The following is a 22,957-nucleotide window of genomic DNA, read 5'->3' as shown; positions in this document are numbered from 1 at the left end:
ACAATAACTGGAATTTTTTAAGGAAAGGAACCCATTTCAATGAGTCTAGAAGCAGATCTAATCCTCAGACACCAATATGCATATAAGGGCTTCCAAAAGCAACTAGAAGGGAAGGAACCCATGTCAGTGTGGACAGCAGTGAAGAGAAGACATGTGCAAAGTGGAGATAGACCCTGTGCATGAGATGTCAGAACACACCTTTAGAAACATACTGTCAGAGAGTGAGGATCCTTGCCACCCCAAAATGAATATTATAATTTATATTTGCAAGAATGAGTATAGAACTAGGGTGAGCAAGGCAGCCTGGGTGACAGAGCAAGACTCTGTCTCAGGAAAAAAAAAAAAAAGAGAGAGAGAAAGAAAGAGGAAGGAGGGGTGGAAGGTGTGGAGGGAGCATGCTGGATAGGAGGTGCTCAGTATGTATTCAGTATTCAGCAGTTGCAGGAAATGAGGGCAGCTGTCAGGTTACAAAGCTATGAGAACTTCAGGAGGGTCCTGACCACTGCTGTGTGATCCTCATAGAAGAGCTGTTTTGTGGGTGGCCCTTTCAGATTCCATGAGTTCCAAAGCAAGCGCTTCTAGCAATGCTGAGAAAGGTCAAGGCTGCAAACCACCCAGCTTATTACATTAACTAAAGTATTTCTCATTCATTTGGGTCCATAGTTTATCCACCGAATATAATAATGCAGCATTTACAATTGCATTTTGTTGTTGTTGTGAATAGAACACCCAGCAAAATCAGCGGAAGGAAAAACATTTGTAGTTGATCTCTTGCGAGTGTTTAACTGCAAGGTTAAGGAGAGGCACAGTGTGGGCTTTGGAGTCATGAAGATCTAGGTTAGACAGGGTGGGGATTATCATTTAATCATGATGCTAAATTTCTGCCTGATCTGCCTTTAATACCTGGCTCCTGACTCTCGGTTTATCTGGTACCTGGTCTAGTTTAATTCATTTGGCTTCCATCTGTGGTGCCTCTTCTGAACAACATGCTGGGTTTCTCAGACTCTAGATTTTTCATCCACTTCAAAGTATTGACTGTTCTGGTTACAAACTCATCTTTTGTAACCAAACCTAAAAGGAGAGTAACTAATTATAAAATAGGATTGTGGAAGCTTTAAAAAGTTCAGCCTTCTTGACTTAGCTATATGTCATAGGTTGGCATCATACCATGTACCATATTGTATGGTGTGTTTAGGTTTAGGTCAAACAATGTCCTTTCAAAAAAAAATCGGTGCAGACAATATACACTTTCAATTACACAAGTAGCCTCCTTAGACCAAAATTTTAAAGGGGGGTCTCTGTCCTTAAATTGTTTATTTAATTTCATTTTAAGAGAAAAAGAAAAGATCCCAGGTAAATTTAGGGGTAACATAAGATGTAGAGGGATGAAATTGTATATTCCACTTCCAATGTTAAAGATTCAGGAAAGCATCACAAAAAAAAAGGTTGAACTATATTCTGCTCTCGATTTGAGAATTAAGAATTTCCAAAAGTTCATAGTGAGACAACCCCCACCTCCACTGTCCTAAGGATTGTGAGAGTGAACAAAGACCAGGCATTAATCTGTTAACTGGAGTGAGGCTGTGCCTGATTGCATATCTGGCACCAAGAACATGATAGTAAACAAGGTGGCAGAGAGATGGGTACCCAGGTCCAGCAGGGTCTGTTCTGTACTCCCAGGGGAATGCTGGGTCATTTAGGTGCTTGGGAGAGAAACCCCTTCTCACTCATTCCCACCTCATCACACTGATTTTTGAATATCTCCAAAACCTTCCTTATCAGCCGCTGTGGAGGCAGCAAACTCCATGGGAGAATTCTTCTCCTTTTCAATTTGGGTAGATGTAGCCAATGTACCTACTTAATAGTGAGTGAGAAAGAAGAAACAATCATTTTCTGCTGCCTTCTTGGGTTCTACACTCAGGCTTTCCAAAATGCCTCATCATCCTTCTTAACAACGGGGCACAGGCTACGTTTTACTGCGCTCCTCACTAGCTGTAATGTGTGAAACAGATCTTTCAGTTTAATTACCTTTTATTTTAAAAAATAAGAATGGAATTTACATATGATAGATAGAAAAACCGCATAGCAACGGGAGTGTAGAAAAACAAGCAGGTGTTAATAAATTTCCAAGAAACATTAATCTGTTTCTGCAAATACATCCTGCTGTTCATTTAAATGGAATGATACTCTATAAATTTACCACTTGAGTCACTCTCTGAGCTATCAAAATGTAATATATAACACCTTCGATGATCAAAGTGAAAGTAAGTTTAGAAATCCAATTTGTTTTTTTCACCATTTAAGCTCTTTATTTAACTTTTGCATTCCAGCCCTCATTTTAATCAAGCTTCAATTTTATTTACTCACATTCCGTGTTGTAATGCAATTATAGGTATGCTTCAAAAGTTGTCCTGAAGTGTTGCAATTGCCAAAAATAAAATTTCATTCTAAGACAAATATATACAAATAAGAAAAAATATCCTCTGTCACATTTGAAGATTTAAAATAACTTACAATTGTGCGAGTCAAAATTGGAAAACATTGATGGAATCAGAGGTAACCTCAAAGGAACTGGGAATAGAGCTGTAATTTTTTGGATTAAAAATAAAGAAGTAATGGATCTGTGTGGCTTAAGTAGGCTTCCCCTGGTTATCATAACACATGGCCAATAGTTGAATCCTGAGGTCAATAATAAGGAAACTGCAGATGGAATTCATCATTTAAAGGGGTTGGCAAAAACACCAAAGGAACTAAAGCTCCCCAAAATCATATGTGATTGGCTTGGGGACATGGATGAGGGAATGGGCCAGGATGAGGTGGGGCAATAGTAAAAGGGAGAAACTTGCTTTTCATTCCAAATCTTTTTGCCTTATTTGATGTTTCACCACATGCCTATATTACTTTAATGAAATACCAGAATAAATAAGAACAAAATAATCAATTGCTTTAAAGTACTTGATGTCCACATAATTTAAATTATTTTAACGTTTTTATTTTAATGAATAGGTAATTGGGATTTTCATAGTCATTATCATCATCTATGGTCTGTGCTACTCAAATATAGTCCTTAAAAATATGTTATTTTTATTCTTTGTTTGTTTGCTTTTGAGATAGGGTCTCATCTGTCACCTAGGCTGGAGTATAGTCGTGCTATAACTACAGTCTCAACCTCCCCAATTTAAGTGATCTTCCTACCTCAGCCTCCCAAGTAGCTGGGACCACAGGAGCATACCACCACACCCAGCTAATTTATTATTATTATTATTATTTTGTAGAGACAGGGTCTCCCTATGTTTCCCAGGCTGACCTTGAACTCCTGGGCTCAAGCAGTCCTCCCACATTGACCACCCAAAGTGTTGGGATTATAGCCATTAGCCACTGCACCCGGCCTTATTTCTGTTCTTAAAGGAAAGAATGGACACTGTCTCTCAGTCTAGAAGGTGAAGCTCTTTTTATTATAAGGAAAGCAGAGAGAAATGGTTTATATGGTGGCAGAAATGCCAAGTCTGCTTAAAGGGTTCTGGTCTAAAATTAGGGACATGATAACTTACTAATAAAAATACAAAGGCAGGTAATAAGCTCAACTGAGAGGTTTATCAGGCAGCCCTGAGTGAAGATCAGTTCCAAGGAATAACAAGCAAGTAATGAAGTTTTAGCCAGGAAGTAGCAAAAGCTGTTATCCCAGAAAGCTGACATCAGGAAGCAGGTATTAGATAAAGTTTCAGGATAAAGGAACCTCTGATGCGACAAGAAGTCACTCAGGTAAGTCAGTTCTTTTCTTATACATCATTTATTGTGTTACATTTCAAAAGCATTTTCAGGTATCTGACATCGCCAGTTCTCTGCCTTTCTTACCCAGTTTGATTATGCTGCCTAATTCACTATCCACACGACAGTCCACTCTGCTTAGTGTGTGAGGACCTGACCCAAGGGCATCTGTGCATTCCTGTCCCCAGGCATTTTCATTTTCATGACTCTATTTGCAAATGGATCTATTGTTCACGTGGGACAGAAGAGAGTGGCAATCTTGAGACGCTCAAAAGTCTCCGTGGCTCCTAATTCAGTTCTAATGCTTGGTGTTTGATGCAGTTTCCAAGGAGAGCTGTGACACAAGGGCATTAATCTACCTCATGACAGCATGGGGTTTTAATGCGTTTTCTGAATCCACAGAAAGAGACTCCTATGGAGGTGGTGAAGGGAGTTATGGAGAAATCAATATCTTCATTTCACTGGGGCACTGACAATTTGTAGCAATGATACGAGGGATCACTGCACAGGGAGAGCTTGTTGGACAGAATCTAATGTACAGTACATATACTTCTGAAAATTGACACAAAGACTTGCTACAAGAGTAAAAAAGAAAAACAACAAAAACAAGTGAGTGGGCTACATGGAGCCATTATCTTTCTAGAAATATGTAGATAGCCTGTTGTACACCAACAACATGATTTCGGAGCAATGAAGGGTTCATTATAATTCTGTTCCTGGGAAGAAAAATTAATTCCATAAAGCATGTAAAGGAATCAATTGAAAATATGCTGGTCAGACATTGAAATCCCCAAATCAAAACTAAGATAACCAATAGGCTAATAAAGGCACAGACCAACCTAGAAAACCATACCTTAAAGTGCCCAGGATCAAGCATAAGGCCATTCAGCCTTGTCAGTGAGGTTGGCCAAGGAAAGTGAGGCTACATTCAGAGGTATTCTGGGATGGGGCATGAGTTAGAGTGTTTAACTAGACTGGCCTCTTTAATCCTTTGTGAACTACAGATATTAAATTTGATGCTGAAACCAGTACTACTTGAAAATAATATTTAATAGCCATCTATTGATTGCTTTCCTTTTCTTTTTTTCTGGGTACTATTGCTTAGCTTACTCTGATTTCTGTGACATTCCAGAATTCTATGTACACTGCTGTAATTAGCAGATATATATAAGACTATATCCTTATCTATCTGATACATTCCAAATAATTAAGAAAGATATATAAATGCACACTTTTAAAGATGAGTATTTATTGTTTTGGCATCTTCATAGCTTCCATTTGGTCTAAATACATACGTGAAAAAGCTTTTTTGTACCTTAAATTGATATACAATCTTGTTACCCATAGGCATTATTTATCTTATTTTATATACTCATAAAAATGAAATGGGAATGGTTAACTTTTCAATACTTTCCATGAATTTTATTGTTTCTTTTTTTTCTTCTGACAATCAATGTCAAGTAATTTTTAAAAACAGGTCCTTAGATTTGGGTGCTTTTAAGATTCTCTTTTCCTGAGTCATGAAAAAAGATCTTTTTACTGTGTTGCTCAGATATGGTGGCTATTTCTAAAGTAGGGTAGAGACAGGATGCATACAAGATGCAGATATTCAAGAAAATACAGTCTGCTGCAAAATTTCCCAAATGCGTGTTCTGTGGAAAACTAGTCTCAAAAGAGTTCCATCATCAAATAAGTTTGGAAGATGCTGCATCTTATCTCCCTTCTTGGAGATTTATAGCACACTTCAGAATATTTAAAGCTTTGGTAAATTCTGCAGAAAAGGAACTAGTTTAACAAATCCCAGCATTTCTTAAACTTCCTTGACAATGAAACTTGTCCTTGACAATGAAACTTGTCTTTAAAAATTTATAAAATACCCATTAACAACCTGCCTAATTGTGGGAAAATTAGAGTCTAACATCCTTTGCAAAATGATCTGCTATGCATAGGCAGAATACCCTGCACATAGACTGTTGAACTTAAACATATATGATTATTTCTCTGTAATACCCATGGTAGACTAGGGTAGAAGCTACAATATGAATCCCTCTATCACTCACCTGCCTTAATAGCGTCATCCATTTTCATTATCTTCTCCATTATTTCAAAAAATTGCTCTGAAAAATAACCAACTAAATGGTCATTTGGCCTGTCAAATTAAGTGCTATATGAATGTAATAATAATAGCGACCATTAATTGGGCACCCACTGTATGTCAAGCAATGAAGCACTAAGTCAGACACTTAGCATAAACTTCCCCTGTTTCACCAGCAGAGGAGAAATTGCTATCTTCATTTAAAAGATGAGAAAACAGTCTTGGAGAAGTCATACATCTTGCCCAAATTCACTTGCTACTACAGGATCAAGGCGGCATTGCATAACAACCTTTCTTTTGTCTCCCCAGACCCTGCACTTTTCACTATATCATGCTGTTTCTCTAAATAACATGAATTCATCTAGTCCCAGCAAGATAATAAAATATGAAGTGATAAGAATAATGATGCCAATAATAGTAATTAATAACAATCAGAATGGTATTAAAACTCTACATATTGTCATCGTGTAAAATTTATGGAGGTGCGGTGTTTTAATATTATAGAGCCCACTCTCTTTTCTCCCACCCCCACATCCAATTAATCACTAGCTCTGGTTGATTTTTTTCTTTAATATCTCTGCAATCCGTCTACTGTCACTAATTTTTGTTCAAGTCACCATCTTATCTGTTCTGGATCTTTAATACAACCAACACCTAACTGGTATCCTTGCCTTCCTTCAAGTTATTTTATGCACTGCAGCCACAGTGATCTTTCTAAAATACAAATCTGAGTACTCACCATTGTTTTAAAACCTCCAAGGCTTCCCAATGACAATGGGCTAAAGACTAAACTTAGAGGCTTCTAGGATCCCGCATTGATGTAGTTTGCATATGTGTCCCCTCTGACTTTCATGTCAAATTGTAATCCCCAGTGTTGGAGGTGGGGTCTGGTAGGAGGTGATTGGGTCATAGCGGTGGATTTCTCATGAATGGTGTAGCACCATGCCCTTGGTGCTGTCCTTGTGATACTGAGTTCTCATGAGATCTGGTCATTTAAAAGTGTGTGGCACCTCCTCTCTGCTCTTGCTCCTACTCTGACCATGTAATGTGCTTGTTCCTACTTACCTTCCACCATGAGTAAAAGCTCCCTGAGACCTCTCCAGAAGCTGAGCAGATGCTGGCACCATGCTTCCTGTACAGCCTGCAGACCACGAGCCAATTAAACCTCTTTTCTTTATAAATTACCTAGTTGCAGGTATTTCTTTATATGAACACATGACTGACCTGATACACTCATCATCCGGCCCATGTTACCTTTCCAGCTTCAACTTCACACTCTCCTACCTTACTCTAAGCCCTTTCAATAGCAAACTACCAATTTCATTGATTCCAAGTTGCACTTTGATTTCATTTCATATCTTCACACTTCTAAAATTAAGATGTGTTTTACAATCAATAATTTGTCCCATTTAAGTGGCAGCGATTTTTGTTTCTTGTTGGTGTATAAAATGAAGGGCCCTGCTACAGCTGATAACTTCAGAGATTCAGTGAGATGCCGCACTGCCATTTTCCTGATGCATCACGCTTTCTTATTTGGAGAGACATTTTCCTAACTCTTCTTTCTGCCTAAGGTGCTCTTTGAACTCTTCTTCACTTACTACTCCCAGTCTTAACTTTCCTGTGGGAAGGCTTTTCAAATTCTCCAAGTCTAATTTAAGGATGCCACTATTTGCCTGCATAACATTACTTTATCACATTTGTGGATAGTGATTTTAAGGGATGCCCCATAACCCTTTGCCACCCCTTCCTTCACATTAGGTGAAACCTAATTCCCCTGTCCTGAGTTTGGGTTCTACTGAGTGACTTTCTTCTGAAGAATAGAATGTAGTAGAAGTCACTGTGTGTCATTTTCAAGATTAGGTCGTAAAAAGACCTTGTGTGTTCATTCTTGCACTCTCTTGGATTGCTCTCTCTGGGGAAAGCTAGCTGCCATGTCATGAAGAAATTCAAATACCTTCATGAAGAGTTCTCATGGCAAGGATCCAAGGCTTCCAGCCAAGAGCTGTGTGAGGGCGCCATCTTGGAAACAGATTCTTAAGCTCCAGTCAAACTTTCAGATGACTGTAACCCTGGCCAACATCTTGCTTGCAATCTTATGAGAGACCCTGAGCCAGACCACCTAGCTAAGTTACTCCCAAATTCTCTTCCCACAGAAATTGTGAGATGATAAAAGCATGTTATTTTTAGCCACTAAGTTTGGGGTGGTTTGAAACACAGCAAGATATAACTAATATAACACTGAATTGAAATTGTTTCTTTTCTTCTCTGCACCTTCTTTTGGACTGAAAGCTCCTGGAGGAGAGGCCTTGTATGCTGCTTAGGTTATCCAGTGCTAAATGTACAATTTGACATGTATTGTGGATTCAAAAAGTTGTGCTGATGTATACATGTGGAAGAATCATATCTTATTCAGTACTTCAATTTAGACAGCAAATCCTCCCTCTTCTTCCCAAGCAAGTATTTGCAATACTTTTATATTCATGAGAATGTACTCATTTATTTATGGTACAAGGAAGGAAGGAATAGGGTTTTCTTAATGCCAATGTTTTATTTTCCCTACAATAGCCAGAATGATCATTTAAAACTGTTATGCTATCTGCTGAAAAACTTTTGGTGTTTTTTCATTGCACTTAGAATAAGATTTAACTTTCTTCCTGTAGACTACAAAACTCCCCATGACCTAGCTTCTTTCTACCTTTCTGACCTTACCTCTTGCTACTCTCCTAAGACTCTAGTCTTCTTTTTCCTCAAAGACACCAAGCTATTTCCTCTTCAAAGCCTTTATACTCATTCTTTCCTTGGCCTGAAGTTTTCCACTTGCTTCTCTTTGCAAAAATGATATGTTTTACATAAATCGGATTTATAGATTGTCAATTCTTCAAATGAGGCCCATCCAAGTTTCCCCTTTACCTCACTAGATATTAACATCCCCAATACCCTGATATATTTTCTTCCTATCAGAAATTATTCGCTTTATTTGTTCATGTGTTTGTTTTCCCTCCCCTCTCTTAACTAGAAGTGAGCCTGAGGGGAGAAACCTTGACTCTCCAGTTGACCACTGTGTCTCTCGACACACGGCATATGGTAAGCACTAAACAAGAATCATTTTCTGGGTGAATGAATACATGAAAGGGCGATGAATGAATGAAAGAAAAGTAGTACATGGGAGAGACGGAGAGGTGCCAGGGATGTCCAGGATCATGTTTCCTGTCTATATGTTCTCTTTTACTTTATTGGAGATGCTATTAAGAGAGAGGTCAGAATTAAAAGAGGAAATTTACATTTGACATACCTGGTGAGACTTGGCTCAAGCAGAGTTGCATTATGGCACAGGTGAAACGGTGTGATGAGAGGCATGGAAGGCCATTACCTCATTCACAGGAATCTCAGCATGGCTCTGCAACTTCAAAGAAGGCAGTTCGGGGAACAGCAGACACAGCTCCTTTGGAAAGAATATCTGCCGCCCGAGGATGGGCTCTGCCTATGGAGGCAACAGTGAGTGTCTTCAGAGCCCATCAGTGGCAGTGGAATTAATGAAGAAAGCAATGGCAGGAAAAGTTGAATAAAGCAGACCCTTCATGGTAAATCTGGTTGGTAAATTGCCTGTGACCACATGTGGGACAATCACTGGAGGAACCCCAGTTACATTTGGTCAGAGTGTGGCGAGGGGAACCTTCTCAGGAAAGAAAATAGAGGTCCTGTTTTAGGAAAAAAAATAAAGATCAGAAACCTGTTTTCAAGTTTTATTCATACTCTGACAAAATCGGAAACTACTGTTCCCATAGAATAGGAAGAAGAGTGCTGAATTTCGAATCAGAAAACCTGAGGTTTAGTAGTAGCTCCTTTGTAGTCCAGCTGTGTCACTAAGTCTTTGTACTTTCTGTTTCCTCATCTGAAATATAAGAATAATGATATCTACGTCTACTGAAGGGTGTTGTGAGGATCAAATGAGATAAAATTTGAAAATACATATGACATCTTTGTAAAATATAAATTGCCATACATTATTAGTTATTTATGACTGTAACATTTGGAATAGTCTGTCTAGCTTATAAAGATGCCTTTTGACTCTTCAATGCTTCTCTTATTTACATGCCTGGCAACCTCAGGAGCCATATTTGTTCTGGATCCTACCCCCTTGACCAAAGTTATTGGATTAGAAGTCCAATAACTTTGTTTGACCTAAGCTCATACAATCAAACTCTTTTTCCAGGCATTTTCAAATTAGGATGAAAAGAGGAGTCCAGTCTAAGTTGGTTTGTTGAATGACAAAGCCTAAACCCAGAAGCTATAGGATGTCATCATAAATCCACATGTTGCTGGAAGGCAAAGAAAGACAGTTAAAAGAGAGAGAATGAGTAAGCAGATTTTCAGAGGAGATCTCAGATTCAGACATAGAATATCTTTGTGTCTTAATTAGCAATGTCCCTTTCTTTCTAAAGTTAAATAAACTTGATTCCTCTTCTTTTGCAAGGAAAGAGTCCTAATCCATTACTATTTTAGATGCATACACACATACTTACATGGAGATGGCTAGCTCTGTTACTGAGTGATGGTGCTGGTTAAAGAAAAGAGGTTCATTGCAACCTTAAACACATGGAGCTTATTTTACAAGTATGTGGTGCATCTGCTTTGTTGAACTGTGGATATTAACATCTGTATGATAATTTAAAGTTTGTCAAAAGCGACATAATATGAAGTAAGGTGATAACTATAATAACACCAATAATAGTAATGCAGTATTTCATAAAAGTCAGAAAGATTTAAAAACTCCACACATGGCCCATGTGAAATGTTCAGCGGTGGACTATTATAACATGGGACATCATGGCTGGCTTACTTGGCTGTTACTCATATGATCTAGACAGTACTTTCATATGATAATAGCAAGAGCCATTGCGCTTCTGTCTGCACTCCTCTTACTTTTCTTATTTAAATGAATTCCATCTGTTTGGAAAGATTTTTTTCTTTCAGAAGCTCACAGTATCCATATTACTAATCAGACAAAAGAAATCTTCCAGTAAAAGAAAATAATAACATTCACTCCCATTATTTTGTCCAGTCATCTTCGGGAAGGCTTGCAAATGTCCATACTGATCTTTGACTACTATGAAAACCTTCAAGCAGATTGCTGTTTTCATATTTCAAAAATCCATGTGTTAATGAATTTCTAGGAACACATGTTACCAATGCTATATATAATTTCCATCTTGTTCCACATAATCCTACTGCACAACTAATGACCATGAACTGAAGCTTGCTCTCTTGGAATGCCTATTACTTTAGTAACAATAATTTAAAAATCAATAATATTTTCTAAAACAAAGTAATACATACATATTAAAACTCAAATATGGACACATTTTCTGGCACAGTCTTAAAATCAGAGAGAATACCTGGAATCGAGACTACATTGAAGGATCTGAGACCTATGGTGACAGCATGTATGTAAGATTGATCTTTATGATTCTTAAGGTCATTATGAATGTGCCTGTATATTATACATATGTGTATATGAATATAGACAGACTCTCTTAGACTATTTGAGCCTCTGTAACAAAATGCCTTAGGCTGGGTAATTAAAAACAATAGAAATTCCTTGCTCACAGTTCTGGAGGCTAAAAAGCCTAAGATCAAGGCTCCTGCAGATTTATTGTGTGGTGAGGGCTCACTCACTGATTTGTAAATGATGTCTTCTTCCTGCATCCTCACGTGGTGGCAAGGCAAAAGGAGCCAACATAAACATTCAGACCATAGCACAGACCTTTTATAAGGGTCCTACAAAGTGTACAATTCAGTTGTTCCCAAATTATTTTTTAGTAATACTTATCATTACCTTCAAGATCCTATTTTCACTAAGACCTTCTTTGATCAAAAATGTTTGCACACCTGAGTAGGCTGAGGGTAGCTTGCTGATGCCTGAATTAAGAAATCAAATACGCATTACAACCTCACTAATGTGTATGAAGGTGAGTATAAATGTTAAAAAATTTTGAATTATGTAATTTTATATAATAAATAAAAGTATGTTATTAAGTGAGCATTCTTTTCAAGTTTGCTTTAATGAATGATTAATTCTGCTGTTAATAGGCCACATTCATTGTCACACATAAATATGTTAATATACTTTAAAACTTCCTCTCTGAAAGTAGAGGTTTCTATAGAAATGTTTATATTCATTTTTAAAATGATACCCCTGGTTATATTATGCAAAGGCAAGTGGCCCAGTCCAGGCCAAAAAAAAAAAAAAAATCACAGAAAATCTTGAGTCTGGTATTATCCATAATACTCTGGCTCTGTTTCCATTATTTTCCATAACATGTTTTATTTTTCAGTTTGTATGTCCTTTTCTCCCAGTAGAATAAAAACCTCTTTAAGTTAGACATGTATCTTATCCTTTTGATCACTTGTGTATAGCAGTGTGACTTGCATGTCATATCTGCAATGATAATCATTTGTTGGTTGAATGAATGAATGAATGAATGAATGAATCTATGTGTTTGGCTTTCACTGACAATTTTCGTGGATTTCCTTGGTGAAGTAAAGAATGATTTACACACTAAAGGGCTCAGAAAGTTAAGATTCTGACAGACAATGAAGCCAGATAATGAATCTTTTGAAATGACTTTCAAGATAAATTCTTTAATATTTCCCCTTAAACAATTGTTTTTCTATCAAGGCATGTTTATTGGCCTAGAAAATATAAAAGCCAGTCCCATGAAGAATGCTAAGGGAACTTTGTCAGAAACTTTGAAGTAAGAGAAATTTTGGAAGTCGAAGGAAGACCTCATGGCCATTCAGTGCTCTTGGAATTTTCTCTACAAAGAGCCCTTACAGCTTTCTCAAATCGCATTTTCTCTTGAGGTTTAATGACAGTAGTATTTTATTGGGCAACAATATTGCAAAAGTTGATTCTTAAGTGAGCCTATACAAGAAGGCTTATGTTGCCTCTTTTTGTCATTCAAGGGGTCAGGGATCACAGTGCAATTTATAAACTTTGTTTTCAGCAGTTGTTGCTTCTGCAAGAATGGGCTCAATCTTCCTCCAAAAATACCTACATTTTAAAAAACCTTTAAGGGTAACCATTAGTAGTTTCCTACAACAAGTTTGCACAACCACTTTTTTTTAAGTTTTTTTTTTTTCCTTTTGTATTCTAAGTATCTGGAATTAGAAAAGATCGGTTCAATGTGAAGGAACCACAAATCTAGCCACTGGTTAATTCCAAAGCACCTGTATCCACCACTAGTTGTGCCTAAGGAGTGATAATTTTCCATCAGATCTGATGACTTGGAGTCACCATCAGCACAAATAGAAATCAGTTGGAGCAAATGACTGTCTATGTGCTGAATCTGTTCACTGAAGTCTCCTTCCACATGCAGCATCCATTTGCTCATGGACCTGATAACATCCCAGATGATTGCATTATTGCCAATCTCTGTCCCCGTAACTAAGAGATAGAAGGTTCCAGATCTTTACCTTGAAATTTCAGGTTTTCATTTGACATTTGGAAAAAGTGATCAGTGTGTTCAGAGTGAAGTTGGATTCTCCAGGTCATTTTATATATTCACAGAAACAGCCTCTGGGTTTCAGCTGGCATCGCTCCACAAGATGACCCAGGTGTCTTTATTGTAGGTTCCTTGGGGATTTTGCCTTTGTAGCTCTCTGAGAGCACTTATCTGCTAGAGGTGAATAAGATAGCAGATCTCCTCAATTCCTCCCTGCCCTTTTAAGGCAGCTAATGGGATCAGAGCTGCTCTGTGTTTTTATCTACCCTTCTAAGGTATCACCTGAGATAAAATATCAGGATTTTCCCCAAATCAAACCAAAAGGAAACACAAAGAAACACTCAAGGATGAGAAGCCAAGTTGGGACAGGATAACTTGTGCCTGTAGCTTACCTGTTAATGAACCAGAGCCGAGATCCAATCATATGTCATGAAAAAGAGTAGGAAGCAAATAAATTCTAGTCATTTCAAATTAGCTCACTCAATAGGACAGGAGCAAGTTAATTCTTAAGAATTTAATTCAGTCAACTGGCACTCAAACGAGGAGAGGCAGAAACAAATGGTGTAGGCTTTGTAAGGCTGTTAACCTGACCCAAGCTCATAAGAGTGAATTAAATTTTTCAATCTTCCCTCAATTCTTCAGTAGTGTGTAGATACACATTTTTCAAATGGAAGTTTAGTGTCTTACTCTATGACCGGTCTCAGGTTCACTACCACTTACTTGGATCATTTACTTAAACATTTTGTGCCTCAGTTTTCTTATCTGTAAAATGGAGGTACTAACAGTAGCAATCTTTATAAGCATTAACAGTAATGGTACATTTAAAGCATTTACTAAGTACTTGATTGACACGAGCTATCATTATTATTTCTGAATATTCGCACTTGAGACACCAATAGATAGGAATTTTAATACATTTCACCATTCTTCGGAGAGCCTGGTCTTCAATCAGGGATGGGAGTTCTTCCATGCTTAGAACACAGCAATAAATTTTCATGGGTTAATGTCAGCATCTACCTATGTAAAATTTATTTTCTTTATTATATTAAAACTAGATGATTATTAGTATTTTATATTTTTTTCTTTTTCTTTTATATAATCAATACTGCTATTTTACCCTCTTAATAAAGAAAAAAAATGTTGATGCTCGCATTTCTGTACTTTGGTAATTCCCCTGAGTGCCGTGCCTCTGATTTCCCTTCTGCAAAGTGCCATCTGTGTGCAGGGGATCTTTTGTCCGCTCCTTCTGTGATTCACTGTGACTCTTTATTATTGCAACCAGGATGGCCTTTTTTTTCTCTCTCTCTCCTAATAAGGAACAGAACCAACATGACTGGGATCACTTTGAATGCTGGCATTTCTTCTGAATATAGTTCTAACTAGATTGTATTTTTATGCTGTGGGTGGAAATGCCAGATAAGAAGAAACAGATGAAGACAGATGAAAGGGTGAGATGGAATGGGGAGGTCAGTTATTTGGATTTCCTTAGGTGGGACATTTGTTGCGGAAATGGCAACCAGCTCTTCTAAAAAATACATTTGGAGTTCAGTACCATTAACAATAGATAAAGAAACAAGGCAAGTAGCTACGTGGCGTTAATCTCACCCCTCACAAATAATGGCACCAGTGACATTTGACCATGTGACAGATGAGTGAGTGGAGAGCCCTGGGACTGTGATAGTGACAGTTTTCTTTTTCTATCCTTGTAAATTATTCAGCATTGGCACAGCACTGGGAAAACACAAACCTGAGAAAGGGTAGGAGAGAAAGGGAATTCTATTGCAAATGAGAATGGCTGCTGACAAGTCCATTAAAAAACAACCACCCAACATTCAAGCTGTGTCTGCTGCCTTCAAAATGTCCTTCAAAGGTTCGGTTCACTAACCTCTTTTAGACATGTAAGGTGGCAGAGAAGAGAGGAGAGCACCTGTTAAAAGCATCCTATATTGGTCTCTCTTTCTGAGTGTGTCAGTGTCATTATCAAAGATCGGATGGTACTTCTCATAAGATCACGTGAGTGACTAAAGCCCACTGTCCCGGCCACCATTTCCATCCCAGTAATTACATTCTGCTGACTCGAATGCTCCTTGTTGTTTTGGTTAGATGTGACTAACTTCCATCCCCTTCCCTCTTCTGTGTTAGGACTGCTACCCCAGTAGAAGTTGTGTTTCTGAATGTGGTTATGAAATTTCACAGACAAGTTGTAAAAATGCCACGGCTCACTTAAGGAAATTGGAATATATATTGATTTCTGAAGAGCTTTATTATTATTATTTTTCTCTACTTGGAAGGGAGACAGGGCAGTCTTTCCCTCTAAACACTCTCAGCCGAAATGGGAACCCAGTGAGATCTCTTGAAATGAGGCTGTGAACAAGGATTCTGACGGGTGAGCCAAACCAGTTTGCACTGCCCCAACCTTCTCTCCCACTAACATCTGCTGTGCAGCTGGAAGCCTGAGAAACTGATGTTTTTACATTGATTGTCCAGCAAGGGGGGCTAGAAACTACAATTCCATTTCTGTTGGAGGCGATTCCCCTCTGGTATATCCTGCTAGAGAAAAATCACTGGTAACATCTTGTATTTCTATAATAGATTTTATGTGACATTTTCAAAATATTTTACATTAATGTATGAAGCTTACCTTGGTAAGGTATAATAAGTGAACGCTTCATCTCCATTTTCTGGAAGGGTAAAATGATACAACAGCAGGCTTAGTGAGGAATAAATCTGCTGCAGTGTCATGTATGGCCCCCAGATGTTCTTTCCTCTGCCCCTCCTCCCCAGTGTTCTAACATTTCTTGCCCACAGTTTTGTCTTTACAACAATGGTAAGATTTTCAAAGCATGTCCTTTATCAGCCCTTTCCTGTCAGGAAATAACACTAGACGGTAGTGGGAACATCACAGAATGTTGCATGGTTTCACTTATGCAGTTGTGGTGATTAAATGGTAGCATTTTCACCCTTCCTGAGTGACCCACATCTAATTTTAGGCTACTGTGACTTTCCTGAGTCCCACTACAGCTGAGCATCACTAGTCTGGTACAGCATGGGTCTGAAATGTCAATCTCCTGAGGTCTCAATCTTTTACATTCTGTTTTGCAATACCTACCTCCCATTCACTCTCCACTCACCCACATATCCCCACGCACCCCAGTTTTGCCCCTGAACAAATGAAAGATCTTCCAATCAGATCTAATTTAAAACTTTATGTATTTATTTATTTTGAGATGGAGTCTTGCTCTGTCGCCCAGGCTGGAGGGCAGTGGTGCAATCTCGGCTCACTACAACTTCTGACGCCCGGGTTCAATTGATTCTTCTGCCTCAGTCTCCCGAGTAGCTGGGATTACAGGTGCGTGCCACCAGGCCCAGCTAATTTTTGTATTTTTAGTAGAGACAGGGTTTCATCATCTTGGCCAGGCTGGTCTTGAACTCCTGACCCAGTGATCCACCTGTCTCGGCCTCACAAAGTGCTGGGATTACAGGCGTGAGCCACTGCGCCTGGCCCAAAACTTTATTATTTTTTGTTATTATTAATGGTTCAGCAGTAGGATAATAAAATCCCTTTTCTGATAAGCTAGGCCTGCCCAAAGCAAGCTACTGGACCAAGTAACCAGGAGATAGAAACAATGCACCGTGGAACCTTAATCTAAATGTCTGTGACCACTATTTTAGTCCTTTAAGGGACGCATTTTCTTGAGGTTTAAGTAGGAATATATCTTTGCCCCAGATAATTTCCACAAAATGTTAATCCCATGATATTTATCCCCTGATTCTGGATTTCTTTTAGGATCCTATATGGTTATAATCTGCCAAGCTCACTCCTTAGTGAGCCTGGAAGACAGGTCATGTTCATAGAGGAACTGTATCTGCTTTTTATAGCATACCAGGCAAGACTTTGGAACGTCCATAGCAAGTGAGGGTCTAGTCGATGCTTGTCAGAAATCGGAAGCTTTGTTCATCAAGGGTTTATGCTTCAGTCAAAAATTAAATGCTCAAAATGGTTATTAGTGGTTAAATGCAATTTTTGTCTGAAAATTTTAAGACAGCGGCTCTCACAGGCTTGGTTTTAAACTGGATGTTGTTGTATAAGAGGTCTGGTCATTACTTTTTGGTGGGTATAGATCAAAACACGAAAGGAAGATGTCTGAGTGGAGCCCTAATTAGGCCACTCATTGTATTCTTTGCTATCTGAGTAGGGCAAGGAAGGCTCCAGTGTTTGACAGGAAAGAGCCAGACAGAGGTCTACCCTCATGCTCTTACACAATGGAAAGTATCTTTTACAATCCCTCCTCAGTAAAGATGAAGAAAGGTCCATCTCTCTTCTTGTTTTGCCACCCAGAATTCCTCAGGTCATACTAGTGTGGGTTCAAATTAGGGCCATTTTAACAGTAACAAATGACTGCTGGTACAAGGCCTCCAGCCTCTGATTCTCCCCGAATGACTCCTGGGCTTCGCCTCTGATTCTCCCCCAATGACTCCTGGGCTTCCCTCTGCAAACTGGTTTCATCAGGTGCCCTCTAGAGTGCTTCATAGAGAAGAATATCCTCTTCACAAGTCCTTCATACCTGCCGATACACCTTAGGCTGCTGCTGCTCAATTCAACGATTCAACAAATATCTGCCAAATACCTACTCTGTGTCAGAAATTGTGCTAAACTTGGAAAATCTCTTTGTGACTATGACATGGGGTTAATCTGGATTCCTTGCTATACTTTGAAATCAGTTTTTTTTTTTTTTTTTTTTTACTTTGGAAGTGCCTACTGTTTCAGAAAATAGAACATTTTAATTGATTGGCATACAAGTACTAAACTACAATGCTGAGGGTAGCTACGCACATAAATAGAAATAAATAATTAGGCCACAAGGCAAAGTTTTCTGTTTCCTGCCTATTCTTACCCTTGCCAATTGACCAAACAATTGCTGATGAGATGATGCATTCGTTTCACTGAGGGCAAAATAATACTCTTCTTTTTCCAATCAAAACTGAGGAAAAGAAAGCATCTAAAGAATATCCATTGTGTAACTTCTTGGTAAAGAAAAAAAGAAAGGTGTGATCTTCTCATTTGACAGGACACATAATGACTCTGTCATTTAGCCTCATAACTGGTGAGTTGCCTTTGAATTTTTATTACCTGTTACTGAATTAATTGAATTTTTAAAAAATTTCGACCACTCTGCAAACATCATTGACTGTTTCCTAAGATGAATGCCAAACCCCTCAAGTGGATGTCAGACCCTGTGTCTTTGAGAACGCTTACCTTCATCCTTCCTCAGTGACTGCAAATCATGAAGGAACTTGGTTTCTAGGGAAGGTGACATGGGAGACTCACTACCAAAAATATTCCACAATCTAATTTCAGAAAAATACATTTCCCTGAATTATAAATGGGAGAACACAGTTTTATAGGCATATAGATCTAAAATGCACTTCATTTTTCATTTTATATTATATCTGTGCGGGGGGAAAACAGTTCTTCAAGGTGATGCGTGGCAATGGATCTTAAAAAGAAAAATAGACTTGAGGCCTTATCGAAGCTTCAGAAATTAACCGCAGAGAGCTCGTATCCGATCTGCTTGAGCAGGTTCGAGGTGGCTATTAGCTTTATATTTTTATGAGGCTGGAGAAGTGGGATACTGTTCTTTTACTGAATGGGTGGTGTCTCTCATCAGAGGTTATGTCCAAGAGATGACAAAGTGGCAGTGGAAATCGTGTTTCTGCTCTCTCATGTTATGTAGGGCAGATACTGTTTGGTAGAAATGAAGAATCGTGTGGTGTGTGGAGGAGAGAGAGATATATATATATGGAGAGAGACACACACACACACACACACACACAGAGACAGAGAGAAAGAGACAAAGAGAAATCTTGTGTAAATTGTATTATTAGTAATTTTGTCATGATTTTTTGTTTACTCAGGATATATTTTCTGAATGACTTTTATAGGCCATATAGCATCCTAATGTAACCCAAAGTTACTCTTTTGAAATTTAGTTTAAAGATATATCTTGAATGATATTGGATAACCAAGATTAATGGACCTCTTTTAAAAAAAATTTTGAGACAGGATCTTGTGCTGTCACCCAAGCTAGAGTGCAATGGTGCAATTATGGCTCACTGCAGCCTTGACCTCTGGGCTCAAGTGATCCTTCAGCCTTGGCCTCTCAGGCACGTGCTACTCACACCTAATTAAAAAAAAATTTCTTTTGTAGAGATAAAGTCTTACTATTTTGTCCAGGCTGATCTCAAATTCCTGAGCTCAAGCAAATCTCCTGCCTGGGCTTCCCGAAGTGCTGGGATCATAGGCATGAGCCACTGTGCCCAGCTTTACTGGACCATTTTGATTTGCACTGGGGTCCCTGTGCTGTGTAGAATTTGGGACTTAACCACATCTTCCAGCTATCAGGTCTTTGAGGGAGTGATGGACTCAGCACTTCTCAGAGGTGGCTGAGAGCCTGAGAGGATGATGAGTGGTGGAAGGTCTAGATGCTGTCCAGGGTTGTCTGAGATACCAAAGAGCAAGGGGCACTACAAAGTCTGCTAACAGGAAAAGGTCTTAGCTATGGAGGACTTTGGGACAAGTGGCTGCCTCCACTGCCAGGAGGGTACTATCTAGGAATTATTACCACTTAAAGTGCCAAATGCCTCAACACCACCATTCCAGAGGCCACACAGGAAGCTTCCATTTACCATAGCTCATACAGTGTCTGCCTGGAACTAGGTCTCTGCATTTATCTGCCATGCCAATAGGTCACCCTTCATCTCCTGGTACTGACATTTGCTCTACTTGTATTCTTTTTTGAGGAGCAAGAGTGATAATTTCCTACCAGAAAAATTTCATAGACTTGGACTCAGATTTTCAGTTCATTTCCCAAAAAAGACCCACACATTTGATACTCATTTGGAAGTATACAGCCAAGAAAACCTGAGTTCAGAGTTAGACAAGAAATGCATTTTTTATGAGATTTTTGAGTCCAGCAGATGTGCGTCAAATCAATCGTTTAAATGCTACCATCCCCACAGCTGTAGATCAGTTGAAACCTTCTGACCTTGATCTTTTCATGTGGGGATTCAGGGAGTCTAACTTCACTCTTGGCTTCTCCACTCTTCCTCACACTCTTGCCTAAGTCAGAGTCAATGCTATGATCCAATTTTGATACTTTTGGTACTTATGATACAATTTTGGCTTTGTCATAAGATTCAGCCTCATCCAGCACACCCCTTCAGTTGACTGGATCCTTGCCTGGAGCCTGCCTTAGTAACCGGCTTGGGTGCCCTGGTCCTCCTAGGACTGAAGACTTCTGTTCTCAACTTACACATTTCCTTCTGCCCTTCAGTCCTGTGTTTATGTATTAGTCCATTCCCATGGTGCTAATAAAGACATACCCAAGACTGTGTGTTTATAAAGGAAAGAGGTTTAATTGACTCACAGTTCCACAGGGCTGGGGAGGCCTCAGGAAACTTACAATCATGGTGGATGAGGAAGCAAACATGTCCTCCTTCACATGGTGACAGCAAGGAGAAGTGCTGAGCAAAAGGCGGAAAGGTCCCTTATAAAACCATCAGATCTTGTGAGTACTCACTTATGAGAACAGCATCATGGGGGTAACTGCCAAACCATATCAGTTTCTAAAAGTCTATTATGAATTTTGGAATATTGACTATTCCTAGTTTCTCTTTTGATGAGTTTTACCCAATTACAGGACACCTTGTGTGTTGTTCTGCTTTTTGGAAACAACATGAACACAGATAACCTACTTTGCAACATGTCTAATCAAAATTCTTAGAGTTGCCATTTGTGGTTTCTGCTCCACAATCCCAGCCAGCTAACATTCCATCTTCTTTCTTCTGAAAATACTAACCTCAGTTTCTTTTGGGAGACCACTTCATTTCTGTTATTTGTTATGTGTGGGTTTGGGTGATGTTGAGACCACATCTACTTCCACACTGTGGAACACAGTGACACAATACAATTAACACAATGTGACACAATACAATTAACACATTCAATTTCCTGGCCAAAATGATTGGTTCAGATTTGGGAATATGACTAAATAGTCCAATAAGAAAAAGAGTTGGTATTTTTGTTCAAATTATTGCTTGGGTATCTGAGGGTACACTCTTTTCTTCACTTAGCTAACAGAGAGGAATGCAGGACAAAGTGACATAGTAATTTTGAGTCCTTGGTGACATTGGCCAAGTTCTGTTATCCCAACGATGATGGCATTATGCTACCTCCCTCCATTCTTTCCAGTTATATTTGCTAATAAGCTATTTTTGTCCTTGTCAATTTGAATTGAGTTTTCAGATACCTAAAAACTGTTGACTATTTCAGTTCTATTTTCCTCATGACTGAGGGCATGGTGAGCGTCTCTTCATATTGCTGTTTTGCTGCACTTGGACTTACTATTCAATCACATCAAAGCTACAGATAACAGGATAGAAATGTAAGCCACAGGCTGGCCACAACCATTGCGGGATGAATTATCCTAGGGACTAAAGTTCCAGAGAGTCTGCTAGAGTCAAACTAAGCAAAGAATTTATTTCCTTTGTATGTTGAAAAACCAGAACCATTCCTTATCCTGCTTCCACTTCCCATAAATGGCATGTCTGGAATAATGGACAGGGGATGGCAGAAAGTATGAGACACAGGCCTGCTCTCCCCATTAGACTGTAAAAGCTCCTTAAGGAAAAGTGCTCTATTTAATTTACTATTGTATCCCCACAAACTCGGCTAGTACCCGGCACAGGGCAGATATTCAATAAGAGTTGGCAGGCTGAACAAGTAGAAAATACTTACAATAGTGCTGCCTGTGGACATACATTGCTCCACTTTTTGGTCTTTGTTATCTGGGCAGTCTTACTACCCTAAAAGTTGTCCCAAGATTTGTGTGGCATTTGCAAGATATGCTTATCAGTCACAATTGCAACCACAAGCAAGTTCACAGGAGCCAGAACAGCAAGATTGCAGCAAAGTTCAGAAGGCACAGAAATGAACTTTCTAAGCTTCCCCTATTCACGGGATCCTGGAGTGCTGTTGATCTGGGAGCACTTTCTCTCCTTGTGTCAAAAATCAAAATAATGAAGAATTATCAGAGGCCCAGGCTGGAGCTAAATGATGCTTAACTCTCGGTTGTCTAAGTGGTAATGGGGGTCTAAGGGCTTCTTTCTTTCAGGACCTTGGAACACTCAGATACGGTGCTTGTTCCAAATTTAGCCAGCTGCAGGCCATGGGGGTTTAGCATAAGGGAGAAAAGATGAGGGTTACTTATATTTTGTGGAACAGAGAAGCTCAAATCTTCTGCAAGAGGGATTATTATACAGGCCCAAGAAGTGTGAGATGAAGTGCAGAAAGGCTGTAGCTGGGACTCAGCCTCCAGCTGGAGCTGCGGCTGGCTCCTTGGTGATCATGCTTTCATGGCAGATCATCCATTAACTTTGTCAAACCAATCACGATGCTCCCTGGGTTATCCGTACTGATAGTGGGGCAGAACTAATTAGGCAAACATAATCTCCAGGCATCCCAGAGACCACAGACCCTGTGGGGTCTATTAGCTCCTTCTTATCCCAGCCAGTCTAGATGGTTATATTT

General features: G+C 39.0%; 1 long non-coding RNA gene across 1 annotated transcript in view, besides 1 other annotated feature; it reads left to right on the top strand.

Annotated features, from left to right (window-relative positions):
* LINC02906 (long intergenic non-protein coding RNA 2906) overlaps positions 1–9,596 on the top strand; it is a 32,756-nt gene extending 23,160 nt beyond the window's left edge. The window contains exons 2-3 of the long non-coding RNA NR_161372.1: positions 8,880–8,947; positions 9,197–9,596. This is a non-coding gene — a long non-coding RNA (long intergenic non-protein coding RNA 2906). The remainder of the gene's footprint in view (positions 1–8,879; positions 8,948–9,196) is intronic.
* Positions 8,273–9,472: an enhancer, noted in NCBI's record as "BRD4-independent group 4 enhancer chr8:94146448-94147647 (GRCh37/hg19 assembly coordinates)". NCBI's record gives its function as "activates an origin of replication core promoter dependent on BRD2, P300/CBP, MED14 and CDK7 cofactors, and independent of BRD4, by STARR-seq in HCT116 cells {active_cell/tissue: HCT116}" and the evidence as "EXISTENCE:reporter gene assay evidence [ECO:0000049][PMID:35650434]".
* Positions 9,597–22,957: the final 13,361 nt, after the last annotated feature.

The sequence above is a fragment of the Homo sapiens genome, chromosome 8, assembly GCF_000001405.40.
Source record: "Homo sapiens chromosome 8, GRCh38.p14 Primary Assembly".
Classification (NCBI taxonomy): Eukaryota; Metazoa; Chordata; class Mammalia; order Primates; family Hominidae; genus Homo; species Homo sapiens.
The sequence above is the reverse complement of the archived record's forward strand: the minus strand, read 5'-3'. Positions and strand labels throughout refer to the sequence as shown.